Source organism: Homo sapiens, chromosome 20 (assembly GCF_000001405.40).
Source record: "Homo sapiens chromosome 20, GRCh38.p14 Primary Assembly".
In the NCBI taxonomy this organism is placed as follows: domain Eukaryota; kingdom Metazoa; phylum Chordata; class Mammalia; order Primates; family Hominidae; genus Homo; species Homo sapiens.
This window is the reverse complement of record NC_000020.11, coordinates 22,778,259-22,794,091: the sequence shown is the minus strand read 5'-3', so window position 1 is coordinate 22,794,091 and position 15,833 is coordinate 22,778,259.

Below are 15,833 nucleotides of genomic sequence, written 5' to 3'. Positions count from 1 at the left end.
CCCCCATTCACAAAGCAGGGATCTCAAAATTACCTACTACTATTTATCTAAGCTCTTAGATTTTTGTTAGAAATGCCCAGTTTCTCTAGAAATTAAATGTCAGAGTTGGCTGGACTTGAAGTTGACCAATTCCTGGAGCAGTTTTAATGTACAAATAATGGAACTTAGGAAGAAGTTGTATATTTAAAATACATATTTGCAAAGTCATTGTAAAGCACCTTTAAAATATGTGTTAACTGTTTTTTAACTGATTTTTGGGTCTTAGACTTCTGCACTATAAGCTTTGCACCAAAATACATTCCTAGGATAAAGAAATATCAGTTACACCATCAGAAAAGCTGCTCACTTTTTTCTACTTGACCCAAAGTCTAGGCAAAAGTGCCAGAGAGTTGGATTGACACAGGGGATTAAGGGAGTCCTGAGAAAATGTGTTTCCCTCCTCAAGTGATAGCTGTGGGAGGGTAACTGGACTACTCCAGGAAGTGAGTCTCCTCATCAGCCACCATCAGGGAGAGGAGGTCTTCCCGTGGTGATTGTGTTAGGCTGTTCTTGCGTTGCTGTAAAGAAATATCCGAAACTGGTAATTTATAAAGAAAAGAGATTTAATTGGCACACCGTTCGGCAGGCTGTACAGAAAGCATGGTGCCAGTATCTGCTTGGCTTCTGGTGAGGCCTTAGGAAACTTACAATCATGGTGAAGGCAAAGTGGAAGCATATGTATCACATGGTGAGAGCAGGAGCAAGAGAGCCAGTGGGGAGGTGCCATACACTTTTAAACAAACAGACGTCACAAGAACTCACTCACTACCACAAGGACAGCACCAAGAGGATGGTGTTAAACCATCCGTGAGAAATCTGCCCCCATGATCCAATTAGCTCCCACCAGACCCCACCTCCAACACTGGGGATTACAATTCAAAATAAGGTTTGATGGAGACATCCAAACTGTTATCAGTGATTCTGACCTTAATGCCTGGAGGAACACATGGCCTGCCTCACACCAGAAGACAAGAGACCTTTACAAAGATGTCCTGAGAGCCATGTTCTGCTGATGAATTCTGCACCTGCAGCCGGCATTGCTTCCTAGATTCAACCTGAATGCGGGGCTTCCATTTGGTTCCTTTTGTGCCTGGTTCTCAGCCAATACTTATGGTTTCACTACAACTAATAATTTCCATTTTGTATGAATAAAAACAGCACTTAGGATGATAAATGTTTATTGAAAGACTCAAATTTTCATTTACTCTACAATCCTGCAAAATAGTCATAGTATGCCCATTTTAGAGGTAAAATTATTCTCAAAGAGGATAAGTGACTTGTTCAAGATTATGTAGCTATAAATAAAGTAGTAAAGCAAAATTATTTAGTAACATATAGAATGCTAACTAACAATAAAATGTGTAACAGGAGTGCTCCTTTTTCATGGGGTTTCATTCTACACAGAGGATAATTAGCCTCTTAGACTCCCCACCCCTGTCCCTCATCCCCGGATTTCATATTCTCCTGTTCTTACTGGAGCACACATCAACCATGAAAATTTCTTGGGGAAAGTCCTGAAAACTCCAAAACAAGAGCCCTTTGAAATCTCCCATGATCCTTCACTCAGCAGTTAGACATTCACTTGACCTCACTCTATTCTGAATTCTCTTTAGGGCTCAAAACTTGATGGCTATGTTTCATATGATGTTGATCCCAGGCTTTTATGAAAACTTCCTCAAGATGTTGGGTAAGACGTTACTACTTCCAAGAATCTGTCTCCTGTCTGAGCAAAGAAGGCCTTGAATTCTTTTCCTGCAGGGGATCTGAGCTTGGCTCATGCAGTTAGAGTAGGATGAGGGACTTGCATTACTAAGGGTCTGGCTTGCACACAAAGAGAGAGAAGCTGACGGCCTGTGGCAGCCCTCAGGAAGTTATCATGAGGTGTGCGAGTGGGGGAGTCTGATTTCAACCCTTCTTTGCACAGGTAAGGAAAGGGAGATGACAATGCAAAATGACTCATCCACCACCAACAACAACTTGGAGGCAGAATTAGGCTCAGAGTTCCAGAAACTGTACTTCCCACTGCATGCTGGTGACAGGCTCACACTTGGGACTTGACCTGTTGAGGTTACTTTTTTCCCTGCATCAGTCAAGATATCATTGCCTTAGCAACAATATGTTTGGTCATTTGTTATGGTTATTGGTAGAATATTTTTACTTTTTTCTTTCTACTGGATCACTCCCAACATCATGCAAACATCTGGTGATTTCTCTTATCTTGAGAAAACCCTGTCTTAGCCCTATATTCCCCTACAAGTGCCACCTCATTTCCTTGCTGTCCTTTAAAAGAAATCTCACTTTATCTTCCCATTTTCTCTTGAGTATGCTCAAACAAAGGATATTCGAGTCAACTTGAGATGCCCCTGCCACTCAATCAATCATGTCCTACTTCTGGAGCTCCAGGCACTGTTTTAGACACTGGAGACAAATTAGTCTTTTGCTGATGACATCCATGCTACTAAATCCACAGCCAGGGCCCTGTTGTCACCTTCTTGGCCTGTCGGCATGAGCTAGTGCAGTGAGTCATGCCCTGCTCCTCAGCATTTCTGACCCTCGCATATATCTCCTGCACATCTATATTTATGTTCTTAGGAGATGTTCTTGGAAATGGAATTATTATTACTATGTGAGAAGTTACCAACATTCATTTTCTTAGCAAAAGGTAAAGCCGAATCAATACTACGTATTTGGAGAAAACTTAAATTCTAAGACATGTTCTCAAGACAGTGTAGACTTACCCTAATCTCCACAGCTGTCTATAGCTATGATACAATAACACCTTATGAATCAATGTATAATAAGGTTCTGTGTGGATTCAATAAGGTCACCATGGATTCAATTTTCTTCACTATGTGAATAAAAGCAAGAAAACAAATATTTGCATTTAGAAATAACTCTTACCTCACAAGCAGGAATAAGTAGGGTTTTCTAATGCTCCTTGGTAAGGAAGTATGAGGTCAGAAAGGCTGGGTCCAGCTCTTCCTCAGCTACTTATTAGATCTACAGCCATGAAAGAGTGATGACTCCTTGGCATCTCAGTTGTCCTTATCTTAAATGACGAGGTTGGACCAAATGGCCAAGGAGCAAAATTTTCGTTCAGCTATGAGAGGCTATGAGTCTACCAGAAATGATAATTTTCAAAAGCAACTCATTTGGTTTCTTCTACAGTTGAGTCCACATCAACCCAGTAATTCCACTATTAGACATTTACCCAAGAGAAACAAAAGCATATATCTGCAAGAACTCTTGCACCAAAATTCTCATGGTAGACTTGTTTGTAACCAACTCAAAGGACAAGCCATCCAAACATCTCTCAAGTGAATATACTCATGAACTCCTACTCAACCATAAAAAATAACTACTGATGCATACAACATACATAAATATTAGAGACACATTGAGTGAAAGAAGCTTAGCACATACTGTATGAATCCATTCACATGAAGTTGTAGAAATGAAAAACATAATCTTTTGGTGCTTGAAGTCAGACCATGGTTGCCTTGGGTTGGGACAGTGGATGCTTGACTGGGCAGAGGCACAGGAAACCGTCTTGGATGATATAATGTTCTGTGTCTCATACAGAGTGGTGATTATACACAGGTATATAAAACTGACAAAACTCATCAAGTCAAACACCAAAGAATAGGGCATTTTATTGCATGTATATAATATTCCCAAAAACATACACTTTAAAGCCCCATCCCCTAAGCACTGAGTCCAAATGTGGAATTGAAGAGTGAATTGGATGCACTGCCAATCATTGGCATGCTGCCTTCATTTTGAGGCACACATTTGAAGTTTTTGGGTGCACCCAGCTATGGGAGCAGGACGGCTCAGCCCAAGTAACAAGCTCCTCAGCCTGTGGTTCTGAATCTGGGCCTGGTCTCAGACTTCCCTGTATCCTTTGGGCAAGCTTGCTTTCCTGTCTCACCTCAGGGCTGAAAAACTGAGCTGAAGTGCTCAAATGCCTCAGAGCCCCCAGGTGAGTGGTGAAGCCCTTTTAGAGGAAATACCAAATGCAACTCTAGAATGGATGTAGCGGTGTAGCCTCCCAAAGTCCATTCTTAGTGGTTGGCTCACAGAAGTCCCAAAGCTGCCAATGTGCTTTATCTCAATTTTACAAGTGCTAAGTACTGGAATTTAAAGCCAAGAACAGTCCTTTCAGAGTACGAGAAACACATGTTTCCCCACAGATGGTGGGACCAAAGCTTATGACCTTTGGGGAGAAGTCTTCACAGCTGTGTGATTATCTGAGCAGTTTCCTACTGGGAAGGACATGTGGAGACCAGAGATATAAACCCTAAGCAAATAAATACCAATCTGGGTAATTCAAGTAGCCCTGGAAATCCATGGTGTGACTGAATTCTTCTGCCAGGGAAGGGAAAAGTCCACCTGGAAATGGTGCTGCTGTGTTTCCTTCGGCTCTCGGTCAGTGGACGTGAGGCATGTGTCAGTGCAGCAGCGAACTTGGAGAGAAGAGAGTTCTGCATCACTGAGAAATATGCAAAAGAGCAAAGGATAGGGGTAGGGAAAGTTCTGATTGTGAGTTTGTCCCTTCCATTGAGGCTGTTAGACCAGGAGCGGGGAACTAGTTCCACCAGAGGCCACCTGCCAAAACTGTTAATGTGGAACTTTGAAATTCACAAAAAAAGCCATGTCATTTGGCATGTGTTGTTTTACCAATGCTTTTCTAATTTATGTTGAATGCATTAAACTTGAGAAATAGAATAGCTCAGACTAAAAAAACAAAAACAAAAATCTCTTATAATCTCATTGCTCCAAGAAGACTTGGGTTAACACGTCAATGTATGACTTTCATATTCAGGCATACCTCACTAATCTATAGAAATACATTCTGAGAAATGGGTTGTTTGGTAAGTTTCTCCTTTTGAAAATATCATACCATATACTTATACAAACTTAGATAGCATAGCCTACCACATATCTACGCCATATGTTATGACCCATGCTCTTAGGCTGCAAACCTGTATAGCCTGTTACTGTACTGAATACTGTAGGCAACTGTAACACAAAGCAGTAGGCAATAGTAATCTCTCAACTTCATTACAATTTTCCAGGAACAACATCATATATGCAATCTGTCAATCAAATGTCACTATGTGGCACATGACTGTTTATGCAAATATAGAACATTACTAAAATGTTGCCACACTATTACATTGTTTTGTAGCTTGTTTTTCTTTATAAATTTACCATGATAATTCCCTTGTCAATAAATGTTCTCCTATAAGATTATTTTTGTTAGAAGCCCAGTATTCCATAGCAATGTATTGCAATCTACTTATTCACCTATTATTAGACCATAGACACAAGAAAAATTGATAGGAGAAGCTAGACTTGATATTTTTAAATAGTTTTTAGAATATCACTGACTAAAAATCAACTTCAAGTGATACCTTTAACAGTTTACCAATTAAAAGCAAGAACTTGTGGGTAACGACAGAGGGTGAGACCAGATTTCAAAGTTTTCCTTCTTCTAGAACTTAGAAGAAGGAAGTGTGGACATCACTATCATCATCAAATGGGTAAAAACCATCACAGAGCCGAACACCTAGAACAGAAGCCCCTCCCGACAAGACTGACATCCCCTCAGAGATGGGAAAACCCATGGAAATGCACTCTCTTGTTTCTTCCAGGTGGGAGAAAGGGGGAAGAGGAAACCATGGACAGTCAAAGCTACGGGTCTCCAGCTACCAGCAGTACATTAGCAAAACAAAGCAAGGAGAAACAACATCAGACCACCTCCTCTGAAGGGGCAGGAGTGCCTGGGAAGCAGCAGCACAGGAGGTCAAGCCCCTCCCTGAGCACAGGCAGCTGAAGGGGCTGCTGGGAGAGACTGAGGCTGGCAGGACGGACACTGCTGTATCCCTGGTGTGCTCCATCCTGAAGCACAGGAGAACTTCCCATGATATTAGAATATGCCTCAAACAAGCAGGGATAACATTGTTTCAGGGCTTCTAATAAAACAGAAGGTGAGAGAGCAGAGCCCAGGACTCACAGTCAAAGCTACTGAACTGGGGGTTGGCCAGCTTCTCACATTGCCCAGTGGAGGACCGCATCCTGTGAGCTCTCTGTTTAAAAGATTAAATCAAGGTAACTAATCATTACATAGAGTATGGTCCATCACCTACCTTAATTATACACCTTCATAAAGGCAAAGTCAAGGATGCTTGCAAACCCTTAGCCTTTGCATGACTGAAGGCTGGTGAAATCTCAAAGATGACTGAGTGACTGCACGAGTCTAGGCATTGTGTTAGTGAGGTATAGGCCAGTAATACAATTTACATAAATCTTCCTACACTTATTCATGAAAGTATATTTTTGTATTATTTTAATGAAATCACTGAATGTGTTTTGCAATTAGGATTTTCACCTGATGTGCATTCTTTCGACAGCCATAATCTAAAGCAGTTCTCCCTCAGGGTGGTTTTGCCTTCTAGAGGACCCTGGGCAGCATCTGGAGATGTTTCTGGTGTCACTGCTGGAGGCAGGGAGCAGGTGCTCTGGCATCTGGCGGGCAGAGGCCAGGGAACTGCCAAACATCCTGCAATATACAGCTACAGCTCTGCAACACAGAATTATCCAGCCAAAATATCTCTATCTCCTATATGTAGGTTTTTGTATCTAAAATATGTCAACATTGAGAAACCCTGATTTAAAGGTTTAGTAATGAGATTTCATTAAATTAAAGTTTTAATCACCAAATTTGTTTTTATCAAAATGTAAGTTGAAAAAAATGTTAAAACATTTAAAAATCAAAATGTATTCCTAAAAAGATATTTTTCCTCAATATAATCAACATTACCTATTAAAATTAAGAGATAAATACTACTTATAATCAGCAAATATAAAATAATAAACAAAATTTTTAAATAAATAAATATTTATATGATATTTACTTGCAAATACATACTTTTTATAAAAATGAAACTATTTGCAAACCTATTACTCACTGTCCATGGAGGCATCAATGTAAGTGTTTTCTTATGTCACACAGACCTACACGTATAAAGATTTAAGGTGTCAGAAGTCATCTGACACTACATATTTCCTCAGCTGCCAGAGACGATGGTTCCAAGAGCTGCATTCACCCCTGAACATCTCCAGAGCCACACATGGAGTGTGATGAGAGTGGACAGTGGATCCCAATGCTGTTGGGAGCCCCACTCAGTGTGAGACCTTGCAGGAGTTGCCCCATCTGAGACAAAGGAACCACAACTCTACCAGTTCATTTATTTTTCCCTGAGCTCTTCCAGTGGTCAGATCCTCCTTGCACCCCAAAGAGTGTCCATCTCCAACATTGGCCGGAGTACAGCCCACACACCCTCATGGCATTTGGACACAGTCCCATTTGGTTTTGCAGACCTGGAGCAAGAGAGAGGAAGCATCCCCAGAGGCCTGAATGCTGTTGGTTAGGGGAGCAGATGTACAGGATTGCAGGTTCCCTGGCACCAGAGCTGAGCCCCAGATCCCAAAGGACAGAGGTACGCTGTGTTCCTCAACACACCGTGCTGTTGCTTGGGAAAAGTGGGCTTCCTGAGCACGTTGCCAAGGCCCTCTTATCTGGGTGTGAGGGAAGTACCGCCTCAGAGGTTCTCTCTACTTCCACTTCTACCCTCACAGTATGGAGAAAATGGAACACACAATACCTAAACCACACACGGAAATTCCACCAGGAATGCTGACCATTCTCAGATAAGGTAGAGGGAGGCATAGCAATGCATTCCTGGGTGCAGGATGTGGAGTGGTGGTCCTGGTGTTGAGGTGTTGACTAAAGCATGAACGAGATGACAACAAAATAGGAAAGACACATACTTGTCTAAAAAAAGATGAGAAATGGCATGAAGAGTGTATGTTCTGGAAGAAAACAAACCTGGACATATTTTTTCTGGGGAGAATCTTAAGGATGTCAATTTAATACCACAAGAACACAAAGGCTAACAAGTAAACAACAGAGGAGATTACCCAAGGATAAATCAGAGGAAAGAAAGCAAATCGAGGGCCATAAAGATAGCAAATACATTTAAGCCACCATGAGTAGATTAGACATAGCTGAATATCAAATCACTAACCTAAAAAATACCGCTTGAGGGCCAGGCACGGTGGCTCATGCCTGTAATCCCAGCACTTCGGGAGGCCAAGGTGGGCGGATCACAAGGTCAGGACATCCAGACCATCCTGGCTAACAGAGTGAAACCCCGTCTCTACTGAAAATACAAAAAAATTAGCCGGACATGGTGGCAGGCGCCTGTGGTTCCAGTTACTCGGGAGTCTGAGGCAGGAGAATGCTGTGAACCTGGGAGGTGGAGCTTGCAGTGAGCAGAGATCGTGCCACTGCACTCCAGCCTGGACTACAGAGCAAGATTCCGTCTCAAAAAAAAAAAAAAGGACCACTTGAGATAAGCATAGTGAATATGGAGAAGTCACCAAGAGGCCAAGAGGTAAAAATAATCACATAACAATAGACACGGGATACGAAGGCGATGGAATGTAAGCAGAGAACCCGATAGATGGGATACAGCAAGTATCCAAACCTATAATACAAGAAAAACAAATTTGCAGAGCACAGGACACAACATACTCCTGGAAAATCTGATATGAAAAATCGTCCCAGCCTGGCTAAGTTCTTGAAAATCAAGGAGGAAGAAAGACATCTATGGCATCCAGGCAGAGTTATTGAATTATAAGGAAAATCTGGCTTCCATTTAACTTCCCCACTTGAACACTTGGTGCCAGAACACTCCATTGCCTGCTTACAGAGTGTGGGGCACTGTGTTGAACACTGGATATCGTCTACAGCCATACCACCCTGAGCGCCCCCAATCTTGTCTGAATACTGAGCATGTACAGGCACATCTGGGAGATATTGCAGGTTTGGCTCCAGTCCAGCACAATACAGCAAATCAGCTAATATTGCAATAAAGTAGTGAAACAAGGTTTTTGGTTTCCCAGTGCATATAAAGCTGTTTATACTATATTGTAGTCTATTAAGTGTAAAATAGCATTATATAAGAAAAAACAACCTACATCCTTTAATTTAAAAATACAGCCGAAAAATGCTATTGATCATGTGAGTCTTTATTTAGTGATTTGTAATCTCTTGCTGGTGGAGGGTTTTGCCTCAATGTTGATGGCCACTGACTGGTCAGAGTGGTGATTGCTGAAGGTTGAGGTGGTATGGCAATTCCTTAAAAGATGACAACAATGATGTTTGCCACAATTGATTGACTCTTCCTTTCAGGAAAGAGTTCTCTGTAGCATGCGATGCTGTTTGACAGTGTTTTATCCACAGTAGAACTTCTTTCAAAATTAGAGTCAACCTTCTCGAATGCTGCAGCTGTTTTATGAAGTTTATGGAATATTCTAAATCCTTTGCTGTCATTTCAACAATGTTCACAGCATCTTCACCAGGAGTTGATGCTATCTCAAGAAACCATTAAGTTTGTTTACTCATAAGAAGCAACTCCTCATCTGTTCAGGAATTTTTTAATTTTAATTTTAATTTTAGATCCAGGGACTACACATGCAGGTTTGTTACAAGGGTATATTGCATGATCCCGAGTTTGAGGCTTTTTTGTAATGAAATTCCAGCAATTTAGTCACATCTTCAGGCTCCACTTCTAATTCTAGTTCTCTTATTTTTTTTTTAACCACATTTGCAGTGACTTCCTCCATTGAAATCTTTAACCTCTTAAAGGCATCAATGGGTTGGAATAAACTTCTTCCAAACTTCTGTGAATGTTGATATTTTGACCTTACCCCATTAATCACAAATAGTTTAATGACATCTAGAATGATGAAGCCTTTACAGAGGTTTTCAATTTATTTCCAGAGGTTTTCAACTTACTTTGCCCAACTTAATTTATCCATCAGATAAATTAGATAGTAATTTATTTAATTATGGCAGCTACAGCCTTACAAAATGTATTTCTTAAATAATAAGATTTGAACGTTGAAATTAGTCCTTGATCCATGAATTGAAGAATGGATGTTTTGTTAGCAGGCATGAAGAAACACTGTCCTCATACATGTCCATCAGAGTTCTTGGGTGACAAAGTGCATTGTCAATGAGCAGTAATAATTTGAAAGGAATCTTTCTTTCTGAGCATTAGGTCTCAACAGTGGGCTTCAAATGTTCAGTAAACCCTGCTGGAAACAGATGTTCTGTCATCCAAGCTTAGCTGTTCCATATTTATCTACTCTGCACAGGCAGAGTAGATTTAGCATCATTGGCCCCTAAAATGTCAGTCTGTCCTTTGAAACTCTGAAGCCAGTCTTTGACTTCTGCTTAGCTATGAAAGTCCCAGATGGCATCTTCTTCCAAGATAAGGCTGTTTCATCTGCACTGAAAATCTGTTGTCTAGGGTAGTCAACTTCAACAATAGCTTAGCTAGATCTTCTGGATGACTTGCTGCAACTTCTACATCAGCACTTGCTGCTTCACTTTGCACTTGTATGTCATGAAGATGGCTTTTTTATTTTCCTCCAACCTCAAGAATGAACATCTGCTAACTCCCAACTTTTCCTCTGCAGCTTTCTTGCACCTCTCAGCCTTCATAGAATTTAAGAGAGTTCAGAGCTTACTCTGAATTAGGTTTTTGTTTGATTTTCTTTTGGTTTGATCTTCTATTTGGACCACTAAAATTTTCTTCCTATCAGCAATAATGATGTTTTACTTTCCTATCATTTATATGTTCTCTGACTTTTAATTTCCATCAAGAACTTTTTCTTTGCATTCACAGATTGCCTAACTTGGTGCAAGGGGCTTAGCTTTCCATCTATCTTGGCTTTCAACATACCTTCCTCACTAAGCTCAATTATTTCTAGCTTTTGATTTAAAATGAGAGACATGTGACTCTTCATTTCACTTGAACACTTAGAATCCATTGTACAGTTATTAATTAGCCTAATTTCCATGTTACTATGTCTCAGAGAATAGGGAGGCCCTAGGAGAGGTAGAGAGAAGGAGAAGGGAAAACGCTGGTCAGTGGGGCAGTCAAAACACATAAACGGCTGGGTGCGGTAGGTCATGCCTATAATCCCAACACTTTGAGAGGCCAAGGCGGGTGGATCACCTGAGGCCAGGAGTTCAAGTCCAGCCTGACCAACCTGGCAAAACTCCATCTCTACTAAAAATACAAAAATTAGCCAGGTGTCATGGTGTGCCCTTGGAATCCCAGCTATGCGGTAGGCTGAGGCAGGAGATCACTTGAACCCAGGAGGAAGAAGTTGCAGTGAGCCGAGATCATGCCACTGCATGCCAGCCTGGGTGACAGAGCGAGACTGTTTGAAAAACAAAAGCCACACAAACTATTTCTAGATTAAATTTGCCATCTTATATGGGCACGGTTCATGGTGCTCTAAAACAATTACAATATTAGAATCAAATATCACTGATTAAAGATCATCACAACAAATATAATAATAAAGAAAAATTTGAAGTATTATGAGAGCTAACAAAATTTGACACAGAGAAAGAAGTGAGCACATGCTGTTGGAAAAATGGTGTGGATTCAAGGCTGTCACACACTCCAATTTGTAAAAACTGCATTATCAAAGACATGCAACGAAGGGAAGCACAAGAAAACAAGGTATGTCTTTGTTCTCTCACTTAATACTCACGGGAATTGGTGGCAGAACATTTTTACTTTTGTCCTTCCAGAGACCCTCTCCACCCACCTCCACCCTCATTTCTGTCTCAGAAAAAGTGGTGTGCTAGTAAATGTTAAACAACAGGCTCTCCAACAAAGAGGCCCATGTTTGCAGTATTTGTTGATGCCTTTGATGCCTGTGGTAGACAGACTTCCATTATGCCCAGTTTCAAGCTACCAGGGTGGTGCTAAATAGTCTTTTAGTTTTCCTGTTCTCAAGGTTCCATTTGGGTTTGTCCATTCGAGACCATGACCCAAAGATAAGGAGGAAAGATGAGTTATGTGTTTCTCCAGCTCCCCCGCTTCTGGTTTTATCCTTTGACAATATATTTTAGCTCCTGTCAAGAGGCCCTATTCATATGTCCCTCCTTGTCCCTGGGTTTAGAAACTGCTCCTTCCTGTTTTTCACTCAGGCCTGGGGTGAGAGAGGTGTAGAGAAAGTCACTCTGCTGTCAGTAGCTGACACTTTGCAAATATTCCCTTATTAAACTGTCTTCAAATTACCAGTTTAACTATGCCTTTTCTTCCTTGCTATGATCCTGTCTAGAACATCATTATTGTTTCATTTTACAGATGAGAAAACTGAGGAATGAAGAGATTAATTAGCTTGCTAAGGATTGTACAGTTAGGCTGGGCTTAGTAGCTCATGCCTGTAATCCCGGCACTTTGGGAGACGAAGGTGGGTAGATTGCTTGAGCCCATGAGTTCGAGACCAGCCTGACCAATATGGTGAAACCCCATCTCTACAAAAAAAAAAAAAAAAAGAAAAATTAGACTTGTATGGTGGTTGGGGTGGGGGTGGGGCAGGCAGCTGAGATAGGATGTTCATTTGAGCCCAGGAGGTAGAGGTTGCAGTAAGCCAAGATGGTACCTCTGCACTCCAGTTTGGGTAACAGAGAAAGACCCTGTCTCAGCAAAATAAAAGAAAGATTATACAGTTAGTATAGGAGAAAGCTGTCAAACCAAGTAGTCACACACAGAGTTTGAGCTCTGAGCCAAGAAAACTGCCTCACAATACAGAATGCATAGGCAAAGAAAGTGTAACCCAAAAATATCCTACGCAGCAAGTTCTCTTTTAGGTATAGAAGCAACAGACAGATATTATCAAACATAAAGGAAGACATGATTATGGAATCCATGGCACATTTTAAATAAACTTCTTGAAAATAAAATAAAAACAACTAGAAGATGAAATGAAGCATTATCACAAAAGCACAAGTGATAAACTCAAACACATTTCTATTTTAAGTAAAGAATCCTATTTTAAATAAAGTATGGCAATAGCCAGAAAAATATGATGAATGTGGCAATGAAAAATTAATGCATTTTACCAACAAATAATTAGAGGTAGAAGATGAGGAATGAGAGGAAGTATGAGTGTATCAATTTTCACATTTTTCCTTGTGATAGATATTCCTTATGTCTAATAAATCAAGAGACAGATTAACTCAACAAGTAATTATTAAGTGTGTACTAACTTTTGAGTGTGAGCTAGGTGCTAAGTGATGCTGGTGGACAGCAGCAGTCTCTGCTCCGAGGACCTTACTGTCTAGAAAGAGATGCAGATTGTCACCAAGTGCCATGAAGGAGAGAGACACCACAGTGTGACAGTGAATAGCCGGGGGGATCAACCCTGCTAGGGAGGTCAGGGAATGTTTCCTTGAGGAAGTGACAACCAAGCTGATATCTGTGAATTATTTGCAGAGTAATTCTCTGTGAATTACTCTGTAAAGTGTGGGGAAGAGGGTTCTAGGCAGAAGCGCGTATCGTGATATGCAAGGGCAGTGGTAGCTCTGAGAACTAAAAGGCTGGTAAGATCCACTGTGGGGAGAGAGAAGCAGCATGGTCAAGGATGTGCTGGAAGATGGGCACTCCTAAAAATTCTTTGGATGCAAAGCCTTGCAGGACACAGCATATATCATACATCGTGATCCTTATTCTAAGGATATCATCCACTGTGGTGACTTTAAGAAACATCTGCTGATTCTTTGCAATCCTCCCATCATGGAGCAGACTAGATCCCCTCCCCTTTAATTTGGATTGGACTTAGTGACTCATTTCTAATGAATACAAGTGGCAGAAATGATGCTGTGTGACTTCCCAGGCTAGGTCATGAAAGGATACCACCTTTACCTGGCTGATCTCCTCTCTCTGTCTCTCTCTCTCTCTGTTCCTCTCTGTACTCACCCTTGGAAGCTGGCCACTATGTTGTGAGGAAGCCTGGGCTGCAGGGAGACACTCCATGCAGGCATCTTAGCTAAGAGTCCCGGTTAGGTTTTCAGCCAACACAAGCATCAACCACCAGATATGAGTGAATGAGCCTGCAGATGGCTTTAGGCTCCAGCCTTCGAGTCTTCCAGTAGAGGCCTCCAGTCTCATGGAGCAGAGACAAACTGTCCCCACTGTGCCCTGTCTGAATTCCTGCAATGCAGAAACCAGCAGAAATCATAAATAAGTATTGGTGTTTTAAGCCATTAGTTTTAGGGTAATTTATTATGTAGCAAAAGATAATAGAGCAAATTGTTTTAAGCAAATTTAGATACATTGCTTAAAGTTACAAAGGCCTAAAATAGATGTGCAAGTGACCAAAACTAGAAGGAAGTACAGGGCTGTGGAAACCAGTGTGATGCCTGTGTTTTCTTTTATGAGATGGAGTCAATAGATACTATCTAAAGTTGATAAATCAAGAAACAAAATATTAAAATGTATCACATGAAAAATAAGCAATCTAAAGAGCAAAAAGCAGGAAGCAAACACTGTCGCACAGAAATAGAAACTGAAAAGACCAAGTGTGATTACAAATGTAGATGCAGAAAACATACATTAAATAATAGGACATTTGAATCACTGGCTATTTAAGGAAATAATGCACTTTGGACAAGTGTTGTAATAAGTAGCCCAATGTCAGAAAAACCTCTTAATATAAAGCACCATAGGAAAGAGCCAAGAAAAACAATTGGTAAAAGTTTGAGAAGAAGATATGTGTATATCCCCAGATCCCCAACTCACTCCTTCCTCTGATACAGATTCCACATAATCAAAGGTTTTACCATAATAAAAATACAGTATAAAATTATGGATGAATGTGTATCACCTTGGAGTGAAATAGGCCTTTCTAAGAAAATTTTGAAAATCTATGAAGGCTTTGAAGACACAATTGGTGAATATGACAACTTAAAAATAAAATCACTAACAAATGCAGAAGACAAAAAATTGAAAACAATCATAATGCATAAAAATGTTATTTTCTGAATTTATGGAAAGCTCATACAACTCAATAAGAAAAATCATATAACCCCTAAAGAAAAATGGAGAGTGGATATAAAAAATAGCTACAAGAAAAGAAGTACTTATGGATTATAAAAAATTAAAAGATGCTCCATCTCATGGCTGAAGGAAAGCAAATGATAGCAGTAGTGAAACACCATTTTTTGTTGTTCAGCTTGACAGAAGTCTGATAATACTGTGTGACGATGAAGAAAGAGATGCTCTAGACAGAGGAAGTTGGTGTGGCCCTCATTAGGACAATTTGGCAGTATTAACAAAATTTTAAACACACGTACTTTCAACCACACTAATATTTCCATGACACTCTGGTTATTCTATGCCACATTTGTTTTGCATGACAGTTTAAGATAAATCTTTGCCTTGATGGGTGACAGGATCCCAGACTCTTCTTAATTCCTAATCATGCACATCATTCTCATACCTGGGAACCAAGGTTCAGGAAAATACAAAGCAACTCACTGGATTTGATCAGTCTTTGCTACTGCCCCATCTGAAGGTCTTTTCTTTCCAATTTGTTTGGTAGAGGTAATTCTAAGGCTATGAACTAGATTGATGGAGGAAGGAAATCTTTACAGGATCATGGTCAGGATAGGTTTAAATTGACGATATAATGAGGCTTTCTAATGAAACATTTTGAAAATTAGCTGTGTCTTCTCCCAAAGAGTCTGTCTACGCAGCCAAGGTTAAAATCTTGGCTCTGATTATAGTGGCCCAAAGACTGCTGGGGAGAAGAATTGTTGGAGGGTTCTCTGGGATTATTCAGTTTGTGTCAGCAGTGTACATCTTAGATCTGCCTCAGAGTCACAGGGAAGCAAGCATCTACCATGAACATCT